This window comes from Homo sapiens, chromosome 15 (genome assembly GCF_000001405.40).
Source record: "Homo sapiens chromosome 15, GRCh38.p14 Primary Assembly".
NCBI lineage: Eukaryota > Metazoa > Chordata > Mammalia > Primates > Hominidae > Homo > Homo sapiens.
In genome coordinates, this window is record NC_000015.10 from 73,238,405 (window position 1) to 73,250,573 (window position 12,169).

At 38.2% G+C, this 12,169-nt stretch overlaps 1 protein-coding gene across 29 annotated transcripts in view; it reads left to right on the top strand.

Annotated features, from left to right (window-relative positions):
• The window catches only part of NEO1 (neogenin 1), a 253,515-nt gene that overhangs the window by 186,713 nt on the left and 54,633 nt on the right, over positions 1 to 12,169 (top strand). For all 29 annotated transcript variants that reach the window (XM_047432591.1, XM_011521628.3, XM_011521633.4 and 26 more), the window contains 3 exons: positions 5,940 to 6,094; positions 10,656 to 10,804; positions 11,179 to 11,317. In XM_047432591.1, coding sequence (XP_047288547.1) covers positions 5,940 to 6,094; positions 10,656 to 10,804; positions 11,179 to 11,317 — 443 coding nt within the window. The remainder of the gene's footprint in view (positions 1 to 5,939; positions 6,095 to 10,655; positions 10,805 to 11,178; positions 11,318 to 12,169) is intronic.

Sequence of the window (12,169 nt, forward strand, 5' to 3'; positions counted from 1 at the left end):
AGTAACACTCAGTAAATATTTATTAAGTTAATACATTAATTTCAATTCGTGGAGAAATAATAGATAATTCAAGTAATCATGTTGAGATTGATTATCCATTTGGTGGGAAAAATAAAAGTTATGTCTCTGTCTTAAATTATAGATGGATTAAGAGATAAATATTTTTAAAATCTATAAATATATTAGAAGAAAATATAGAAATGATTTTTATCATTTGGAGAACAGGAAAGGGCTTTTAAAGGGAGATAGCAAATCCAGAAGCCATAACAGGAAAGAGTAACAAAGTTACAAATTATAAATAAAAGATATCCCAAGAGACAAATAATACAAGCAGATGATTCATAGTACTGGAAAGCCCATTAGAGTTAAAAAAAGGTTTTCACCATCTCAGGCGATCTTGGAAGCAAAATGATGGGGGTTTTTTTGTTTGTTTTTATTTTGTTTTGTTTTGTTTTGTTTTGGAGACAAAGGTCTCGCTGGGTCACCCAGGCTGGAGTGCAGTGGCACTATATTGGCTCACTGCAGCCTCCGCTTCCCAGGTTCCAGCGATTCTCCTGCCTCAGCCTCCCAAGTAGCTGGAATTACAGGTGCCTGCCACCATGCCTGGGTAATTTTTGTATTTTTAGTAGAGATGGGGTTTCACCGTGTTAGCCAGGCTGGTATCGGACTCCTGACCTCAGGCGATCCACTTCAGCCTCCCAAAGTGCTGGAATTACAGGCATGAGCCACTGTGCCTGGCCAAGTTATCATTTTTCATCTATAAAGCTGGCAAAAATTTTAAGTTGATAATATCCAGTGTTCAATGAGTTGACAGCTAGGAGGAAAACCACTCTAGGTTATTGGTGGCAGTATAAATTAGAATAGTCTAGGGAAGGTGATTTGGCAGAATTTTAAAATATTTTAAATATACATAGCCTTCCATCACACTTCTAGGTAACTGTCCTATAGACATACAGATATATGTATGCATTGGGCCCTCATACAAACACGTTTATTTATAGCATTGTTTGCAAGATTATAAAAGGAGACTATGTAAATATCCACTGATAGAAGAATGGGCACCTAATATACAATCGTGCATCACATAACAACGCTTCAGTCAGACAGACTGCGTATACAATGGTGATCCCATAAGATTATACCACTGTCTTTTTACTGTACCTTTTCTGTGTTTAGACACATAGACACTTGCCATTGTGTTCGCATTGCCTACAGCGTTCAGTACAGTAACATGCTGTGCAGGTTCGTAGCCTAGAAGCAATAGGCTATCCCATACAGCCTAGGTGTGTGGGATATACACCTAGCTATACCATCGAGGTTTGCATAAGTGCATTCTGTGATGTTCACACGATGAAATCACGTGATGCATTTGTCAGAACATATCCCTGTTGTTAAGCAGTGCATGACTGTATGTATACCCGTAAGTATGGTGGCAGCAGTTTTTTTTAAATGACCTGTCTGTATATTTTGATGTGTATGTAAATGCCTAAAGCAGTGATCCTCAACCAGGGACAGTTTTGCCCCCTCATCCCTCGGGATATTTGGCAATGCCTGGTACAGCGTCAGTAAGTACCAGTAGAGGTACTTACTGACATCTAGTGGATAGAGGCCAGGGATGCTGATGAACATCCTGCCATGCACAGGACAGTCCCACAACAAAGAATTATCCTGCCCAATGTCTCAGTAGTGCCAAGGTTGAGAAACCCTGGCATGGAGACTGTCTGGTGAGATATGCGTCAATATGTGCCACAGTCAGCTCTCAGGGCAGGACAGGTTTTGACAAAAGAGAATTGAGACTTATTTTTTTTTAACTGTGTGTACTTTTATATTTAAATGTTTTCAATGAGACACACTTATTTAAATTTTATGATAGATTGTGGGTTGGAGTAAGCAGGAATGATTAGTAAATTAATTTGTAGTTGGAAGAGATACAGAAGTTGAGTTGGCAGGGGCAGGTGGGCATGACTAGTGTATGTAAAGGAAGAGGAAGTGCAAGGTAAGGCCATCTGTGTGTATGCTGTGAGAAGGATGCAAAGGCAAGAAAGCTGGCCAAACTGGCCCAGAGCTTTTGGCAGAAATTAGTAAGAGATTAGAATAAAGTGGACGTTTGGAGCCAGATGCTGGAATGCCAGTGAGAATTTGGACATAATCAGATAAGAAGGGACCATTTTTGACTGTTAAGAAAGTTGTACACTGTGATTTTATTAAACAGTACTTTGGGAACACTACCCAAGATTAAAGGAGAGAAAAAATAGAGTCAGGGAGACAAAATTGGGTAGTAATTATGTTAGCCTAGATACGTGCTAGTCGTCGGCTTGGATGAAGATGAAAGCAGCGACTTGAAGTGGATAGGACAAATTTGGGAAATATTTAAAAGGAAGATTTTGGGAGACCATAATAGTTTTTTGTTGCTTCATTACTTTATGATTTCTGAATAGAGGCAATGAAGGAGAAGTTAATTTTTTTAAGTCGTAAGACTATATCCTGGCTAATTGTTACATAAACAAAACTTTCTTATTAATCTTATCGGCTTAAATTTTCTCATCTAAAAAACAAAAGTAATATATTTACTTCACAGACGTGTGGTAAGAATTCAATGTGAGAATGTATGCCACTACCTGCATTTACAAATTCACCCACTTCCTGCATTTGAAAATTCAGCCACCAGGTGGCACCATATGCCTTGGTCATGAGCTGTAATTCTTATGGGTACCTGAGTTGCCAGAGATTTCAGAGGGTCCTTCCTCTCTGCCTTTTCAGCTATGAAAATTTCATCTTTCTTAAAAAAGCAGTACTTTTCTATATTAACCATTAAGTGGGAAGTGGAAAGTAAGGTATTTCTGCTATTCATAGCACTTTAAAGTTGGATTGAAGCCTTAGAGATCTGTTAGTCTAGTCAAGGGGTTAGCAAACCATGGACCCTGTGCCAAATTGGAGCAATTATTTATTTTTATGGCCCCGGAGCTAAGAATAGTTTTTACATTTTTAAATAGTTACATTTGAAATGTTACATAGGTAACTATATAATATCCTCCATTTTGCCTCTTGGCCTATAAATATTTACTACCAGGCCCTTTAAGAAAAAGTTTGCCCACCCTGTCTCATTTTTTCGTTTAATACATAAAGAAAGTGAGGCCCAGAAAGCATTAGTGACTTTTCCTCACAAGCTAGTAGCATTGCCAGAACTAGAATTGCATCTCCTAACTTCCAGCCCAGTGCTTTCTTTCTATAAAGTGTGCCCTTTTCTTTCCCTTTTGATTCTTAGCTTTCACATTCTAACCTGAGTCCCACTGTAACCCCACACACTTAAGAGAATTGTTGTTTCAAATGCTCCTTGAATCTTATCCCAAAACCAAGGGTGGTTTTTCTGCACAGTAACTTGTTTCTGGGACCTCAGACCAATAGTGTCAGATCACCTATGACTGATTTTTTTTAATGGTAATGCTTCTATAGAAATTTGATGTGGGTATTAGTAACCTTCACTTATTTCTCCCATTTTTTCCCTTTCACATAGAAGCAAACAAAAAATATATATATGATATTAGTATACAAGATTTACATATCAGAAGGCAGATTTTCGTTTATTCATTCAATGTATGTTTGGGATGCAGCTTCCCTGTATGAGCATTCTGCTACGTGCTTCTGTCGTACACGAACATGAATGAGACAGTCTTTTACTTCAGTTTGAAGTAAAATAGTCCCCCTCCTGTGTCTTTCTAGAAGAAAACTTGTTTCAACTTTCCTGTGTGGGGTGAACAAAAGAGACCTGATCTGTACTCTCTCAGAGAGCCTTTAGTTTAGTGTAAAATACAATACAGTTGACTCCCCAGAACTTAACCACTAGTAGCCTACTGTTGACTGGAAGCCTTGCCAATAACATCAACAGTCTGTTAGTACATATTTTTATGTTATATGTATTATATACGGTATTCTTGCAGTAAAGTAAGCTAGAGAAAAAATGTTATTAAAAAAATCATAAGGGACCAGGTGTGGTGGTTCATGCCTATAGTCTCAGCACTTTGGGAGGCTGAGGCGGGTGGATCGCCTGAGGCCAGGAGTTTGAGACCAGCCTGGCCAACATGGCAAAACTTTGTCTCTACTAAAAATACAAAAATTAGCCGGGCGTGGTGGTGTGCACCTGTAGTCCCAGCTACGTACTGGAGGCCAGGGCACAAGAATCCCTTGGACCCAGGAGGTGGAGGCTTCAGTGAGCCAAGATCACACCAGAGCACTCCAGCCTGGGTGACAGAGTGAGACCCTGTCTCAAAACAAACAAACAAAAAAATCTTAAGAGAAACTATTTATTGTACATTAAGTGAAAGTAGATGATCCTAAAGGTCTTCACCTTCAGGTTGAGTAGACTGAAAAGGAGGAAGAAGAAGAAAAGGGGTTGGTCTTATTGTCTCAGGAGTAGCAGAGGCAGAAGAGGTGGAGGAAATGGAAGCAGGGCAGGAAAGGCAGGCGCACTCGGTGTAACTTCTGTTGAAAAATATCCGCTTATACGTGGACCTACACAGTTCAAACCTGTCTTGTTCAAGCATCAGCTGTACTTCCCTTTAAGACAGGGATCATCCATGATCAGACCAAGTGTCAGAAACCTTAAATTGTAAGAAATCAGTTGATCCTTCCTTATAAATCCTGTGATTGAGAGATTTAGCCGAAGAGAAAATAGTATTAGGTATCTCAAGTATCTCTGAAAAATAATTTTTGTTACTACAGTATTCTTTTCCAGGGGACCTAGCTGATTATAGAGAAAAAATCCTCTGTAAATATTGTGTGGGTACTATTGTTGGATTTTTTAATTAAAATAAAGTAACTTAAAAGAACTATAGAAAATTACCAAAAAGCACTTCTCTGCAGTGCAAATGCTCACAATCAGACAAATTGGCATATGGTCATGTAGACCTACACAAATTTTAATCTGCAATTTGAAGGCAAATTATCAGTATTTTAAAGTAAGAATTTTAATTCAATAAATTAGAATAATTTCTTCAATGGAGTAGTTTGAGGCTCTTTAATTACTTTCTCAAGACAGGTATAGCTGTTTCCTCACATGAATGACAGTTCCTAAAAGCCAACTGTTTGTCTAAAACAAATTCCTTCACAATATTTGTTGAAAACTCTTGATTATGCAGTCTGGTTTTCATTCTAGTGAGTACAGTAGACTGAGCATGTTTGTGGACCTGTGTTGGTCACACAGACCCCAAGACAGAACCTGGAAGCCACCTTTAGTAAAGAACCTAGATAACTGGTTTTAAGCTTTCATCTCATGATATTAAATACTAGACCGCTGGATTTGAGTTGTTTGTGATAAAGTTTGTCAAACATTTCATATCATTTCATATCAGCTTCAAAATCAATGAAGTGTTAATTTTAAGAAATTATAAAAATCAGTATTGTAATCAGTTTATTTTATAGACTGGGTTACACTTAGGATTTATTTAAATGTTTTATGTTTTTATTTCCAATTTTAAAAGATGATAACCTCTAGCATTCTTTTTATTGAGAGTCTCTTAGCCAAAATATACACAGCATTCTTTGATATTTTCTGTGAAATATCATTAGGTCATACCAATATCCACCTTCCATCAATTTCCCTAAAACTCAGTGATTTCTAAAGCCTAGAAAGTTGATGACTAGCTGCCCCATTTGAAATGGCATTGAGAAGAGCCCTGTGTCTTCTCTGAAAGGAAGTTGTGATTATGGTCAGCGATATCAGTAACATTTCAGCAAGAACATCACTGATTTGTCAGATACGTATGCCCTTGCTCTTTTGCCAGTCCCCATCTTCTTTGCACTGTCCTACCCCCAAAAGCTTCATTGTTTGAGAGCTAATTTGACTTACACTGATAGATTTTTATGTGGAGTGGAAAATGAAACTGTACATTCTGGAAGTATTCCTAATTAATGCTATCTCTCTCCAAATCCTTTGTCTAAAGGGAACGTGTTGAGAATACCAGTCACCCAGGAGAGATGCAAGTAACCATTCAAAACCTAATGCCAGCGACCGTGTACATCTTTAGAGTTATGGCTCAAAATAAGCATGGCTCAGGAGAGAGTTCAGCTCCACTGCGAGTAGAAACACAACCTGAGGGTAAGTCTTCCACCTGTCTGTCAGCACCCCCTAGAGGTAGACCTCTCTGAAGTTCTACCTTTGTTTAGCCTTGCACACCATAGGGGAGCAGAAGATAACAGTTCCTTACTTTCGGGGTCCTTATCAATTAGGGGAGGCAAAATTAATTTACATCAAAAAACAGCAAGTAGGGCTGGGTGTAGTGGCTCATGCCTGTAATCCAAGCACTTTGGGAGGCCGAGGCAAGCAGATCACCTGAGGTCAGGTTTTTTAGACCAGCCTGGCCAACATGGTGAAACCCCATCTCTACTAAAAATACAAAAATTAGCCGGGTATGGTAGTGGGTGCCTGTAATCCCAGCTACTCGGGAGAATAGCTGAGGCAGGAGAATCACCTGAACCCAAGAGGTGGAGGTTGCAGTGAGCTGAGATTGCACCACTGTACTCCAGTCTGGGTGACAGAGTGAGACTCTGTCTCAAAAAAAAAAAAAAAAAAAAAAAAAAAAACAACAGCAAATAGTATAAGACAATATACTTCTGTTGGTGCTTTTCTACGTGTTCATATTTTACTGACCCTTTAAGACTTAGCTCAGATGCCTTCTAGAATCTTTCCTCTGATTCTAATATTGTTATCTCCACAGTCTAAGATATTTATCACGTTTTTCCTTCAGTTATGATTATGAACTTACCTTGCTGATTTTGTAGCAAAGACAGAGCCTTTGTCATCCTTACATTTCCCACAGTGTCTAATGTAATGCCTTGCACATGAAGAAGGTATTTAATAATTGTTCTTAACTGGATTGTCTGTCTTTAGGCATACCATGCTCTTTAGAATCTCCTTGAGGCTTTATTTTGGACCTGTGGTCTTTCGTGCTAAATAGGGTTACTTCTAATTACATTTCTAAGATTTTCAGTGACGTGAGTGTCAATCAGGTTTATTTATATTATAAATGTGTTGTATATCTTAAGTTTGGATTGTAAACTAACTATAGGACCGAAATTACAAGCAGCCAGATCTTAATAAATGCTTTTCCTACTTGAGGCTTTTGTCTAGACTTTTGCTTTCTTTTAACACAAATTACTGTTTTTCCTCAGTGTATTCTTTTTTTTTTTTTTGAGGCGGAGTCTCGCTCTGTCGCCCAGGCTGGAGTGCAGTGGCACAGTCTCTGCTCACTGCAAGCTCTGCCTCCTGGGTTCACGCCATTCTCTTGCCTCAGCCTCCTGAGTAGCTGGGACTACAGGTGCCTGCCACCATGCCTAGCTAATTTTTTTTTTTTTGTATTTTTAGTAGAGACGGGGTTTCACTGTGTTAGCTAGGATGGTCTCAATCTCCTGACCTCGTGATCCGCCCGCCTCGGCCTCGCAAAGTGCTGGGATTACAAGCATGAGCCATCGCACCCGGCCACCTCAGTGTATTCTTCAGTCTAATTTTATTATTAACAGCATTAGTTTTTCTGTATTAAAAACCTCCAGTAATAATAAAATATTTTACTTTGGGTAGAGAGTATTTTAGATATATTTGTAGAGGCTACTGACCAGGCAGCTGAACAGAATAAATGACTTTACCAGTGGAACTATAGAAATAATTTAAGAACTTTACCTGACGGGTAGAATAAGTGAAGAAGCTGTAGAACTTCACTTTCTAATGCTATGGCATATCATTCACCTGTCAAATATTTATTGAGTATCCCCTATACTGGGTAATGTGCAAGATACTGGAGATGCAAGGATGAACAAGCTTGGTCTTCTTCCCTTAAAGAAGGAGCAGGCAAGGTAGGAGACCTTTCATCATTTCAGTGACAGAGATTGAAGATAAGAATCAAACCCAGGCAAGAACAAGAGGGCCATCACAGAGTCAGGGGGTTGATTTAAGGGAAGAGTGTGTTCTCATTACAGGCAGAATGTTGAATTTTACAGTTACCTATGTTCAGACAAGAGCAGGAATACTCTATTAGGTTTCAAGCTCAGTTACCCTTCATCAGCTTTCATATAGAGGCATCATTCATGAGAGATACTAGGATACAGAATAGAGAAAACTTACTGTAAAAGATAGAAAAGTCAAGGCAGGATCCTAGGGAAAGATGAGACCTGAGGCTGGCCTTGAGGCATTTGACTTAGAGCAAGCATTTTGTGGGAAGGAATTTGCATGACCCAAATCCCAGAAATAGAATCTAACAGTGCACATGCAAGGTAAGTCATGACAAAAATGAAGGAAATGCAAGGGTCCTATCCTGAGGCTGTGAACCTTCTGAAACTGCATGAAAATAAATATTTGTGTCTGTACATATTCACATTTCCCTTGGAAAGGATCTGTAGTTTTCATTGTCATTTCAGAGCTCATACATCAGATTGTTGAGAACCACTGCGAGGGTCATTGTCAAATTTAGAGATGAAAGAAAAGGGGTGAAGAAGAGTGGATTTATTGAGTGCCCACCATGTGTCAGCCACTGTGTTAGGCAGTCAGGATGTAAAGATGAGTAAGACTTGACTTCTGTCCACAAGGAGCTTACGGTCTGGTACCATAGACAACAGTGTGATGTGTTATCACCTTAAGGAAAATAGGCAGCATAACCATTTATTCAAGGAGTTTGGCTAAAAGAAAATAGTTGTAAGAATGTAGGTAGAAAAGGCAACAGGTTCTGGTGAGGGTATTTTAGGGATGGAGAAGAGACTATAACATGTTTTGGCAAAAGAGAAGCAGTTTCTGAAGAGAGATTTGGATTTCATCTGGAGGTGTTCAGCTTGTGTGGGGGAGGCATAAATGTTGGAACCAGCCCTTGGAAAATATTTTACATATTTAGTTTCACAAACCAACTTAACATTTTTTCCATTTATTATGCCACTGTACAGCTGAAATGAAAGAATTCATTAGCACCTTTTTTAGGATCATATTTGCCTACACTTGGCCAATGAATATATTGAAAATGATTTCAAGAGAATTTAGGGACTGTTTTGTTTTTCTTCTCCTTTAATAAGTTAGAGGAAAGTTTTCCATAGCAGCAGAAGTGTGACAAATCCCACCTGTCAGGCTGCACAAAATATGCCCTTAACTGAAGTGAATAACGTGATTCATAACTAAAGCAAACAACTGTTAGAGTAACCATATTCAGATTTCTCTACTTTGATAGCAAAATTAATCTTAAGCTGTGGTGCTGTTATTCAGGAAAGCCAGTGTGTTTTACATTTTGTTAGCTTTTTTTCCCTTCCCAGTTTTTAAATCTAATGAATGTCTATTACAGAAACACTAGTGCCAGAGAAATTGTTTTCAAATATAGAATGTCTACCAAAGTGTAGGCATAGACAGCCACACAGGATTTGTGTATAAATTGGAACTGGAACCTGTCAGTCAGACAAAAATAATACAGTAAAAGGGTAGGTGTGTGAGCCATTGTAGGAGATAGAGCCAGCTAGACACTTAAGCAGTCAGCCAGTGATCCAGTCTTCCAGTCACATACATCCTATCGTGGGTATTGTAGTAATCTCCTTACGGGTCTTCTTGAGCCCACGTTTTAGAATCAGCAAGTACTCGACTCCTGGGTCCACCGCTAGCTAACTTTCCCATCACTTGGGAAAGATTGTTAACTTCATAACCTCACCTGTAAATGAGGGTGATAATATTCATCTCACTTGGTTTAGTGCAAAGATTATATGAGAAAATACATGTCAAGTATTTAGTGCTTGACTGACTGTAACCATTCAATAAATGGTAGCTGTTTTACAATTATTATTATTTTATCTAGTCTTGTTCTTTTACTGTTTTTCTTCCATGCATGTGTTCACATGTCCTTTCTAAACACAGATCTGATCATATCATGCTCCTGCTCATAATTTTTCAGTAGTCACCTAACACCTACTAGAGAAAATGTGAGCTTCAATAGCAGGACATTAGAGGGTTCTTCACTATCTGACTAGTCATTGTTTTCAACATTCTCTCTCCCATATCCACTCTGTTTCAACCAAGCTGAACCACTTAACACTGTCTTTTTGTATATTCTCCCTATTGACCCCATTGACTGGAATGATTTTCCCCTTGGTATCTGAGGAAAGTGTTCATTTTGCTTGACTCCAAGAATTCTTCATCAAAGGGGTTTCCCTCCCAAACCCCTCCCAAAGCAGAATTGTGTGCTCTCATCTTTCTGTTTTTGTTATAACCGTTACCTAAATCTGTTAGCACTTACGACATTTTTTGTAACTGTTTATATGTCTGACTTTCCTGCTAGACTGGGAGTTCTTTGTGGGCAGGATTCTATTCATCACTGTATCCCTAGTGGCTACCACAATGCCCGGCAAAAGAAGGATCTCTTTCTGTGGTGGTTGCCTTTTATGTCTTGTGTAGGCCCACTGCAAAACTGGGATTTTATAAATCACAAGGAAAGTTTTTCAGTGTAATTTCTGGTTTTGATTTGAATCATAAAAAGGAAAATGTGTTTATATATTATTCTAAAACCACTTCAATCAAATCCATTGTTTTCTTAGCTTCTATTATTTTAAAAACGTGGCCAATATGACAGTATTGCCAAGAATGGTTATTGAGGAGTGTAGCATTTCATTTATATCTTGCTTTCTCGAACTTTTCTTTCTAGTTCAGCTCCCTGGCCCAGCACCTAACCTTCGTGCATATGCAGCTTCGCCTACCTCCATCACTGTTACGTGGGAAACACCAGTGTCTGGCAATGGGGAAATTCAGAATTATAAATTGTACTACATGGAAAAGGGGACTGATAAAGAACAGGTATGAAGTGAAGCAACTTTTCAAACCATTGATTGGAATAGTAGAGTTGAAATATATTTCCAAAACTCAGTAGTTGCTTGACTGGAAATGTGAGGGGGAAAAAGAAACATAGGAAATGAAAAGTTGACAGATTCTATTTCTTTGTACCAAGATTTATTGTGTAGTTTTTACCAGCAGTGGTCAGTGAACATCAAGCAGTATTTCTAAGTAAATTGTCAATTTATGATTCATCTGCTTTGACTATTGAAGAACCTTATGTAGAAGGGATAAAATCTGTTTCATGTAGAATATAGAATTTGTGTAGCTAATTCTTTAATTTTCAACTTTTCTTTTGGCTTGAGTGCATATGTATAAAGTGTTTTATTTTATTCAAGGATGTTGATGTTTCAAGTCACTCTTACACCATTAATGGGTTGAAAAAATATACAGAGTATAGTTTCCGAGTGGTGGCCTACAATAAACATGGTCCTGGAGTTTCCACACCAGATGTTGCTGTTCGAACATTGTCAGATGGTGAGTCTTTCTTCCTCTGGAACGATATACCACACTTGGTGCCCCTAGTGGTTTAGTTGTAAGATCATGAGCTTTGATGTCTAGAAGATTCAGTTCAAATCCCAATTTTACCTCTTTCTGGTAATATGACTTTAGTCAAGTCTGAACATCTTTTTTCACGTGTAAAATGTAGATAATACCAACTTCATTGAGTTGCTGTAAAGATTCAGTGAGAAAGCATAGAGCATAAAGTGCCTCTTACTGGATAGGCTCTCAGCGTTTGTGTTTTTAGCAGAAGCTTTTGTGTAAGTAAATACTATTGCTTGTTCATAACACAGACCATTCCAGGGCTTTTGGAAGACTAGCCTTATTCTACTTAGCAATGATATTTGCATGCCAAATTAGTCTTTCTAGTTCCTCCGTATTTGTGACTGTTTTATCTCTCACCTGTGACTGAATTTCTAAATTAAGTTATATATATATATACACCCATATATATGTATATACACCCATGACCTAGAGCAGTGTTTTTCGAACTACAGCTTGCCAAAGAGATTAAGTAGGTCAAAACCAGCATTTAAAAAAAATATATTTTTAGAATAGAACAGAAAAGATTAGAGTTCATTGCACTTAGTAAGGGTATATGTTGTTTCATGAAACTCAGCTAAATCTTATGTTTTAGAAAAATGTCTTTTTAAAAAAACGTATTTATGTGTATACCGCTCTTACGTAAACACACATGCTTTAGAAGGTAAAGTTTGACTCCCTTAAGAAAAGAGTCAAACTTAACATCACCAATAAAAGAACAGACTGACATCACGTGCCCCCTTATGTGATACATGGAGGAAGACACAATATTACTTCTGTTATATC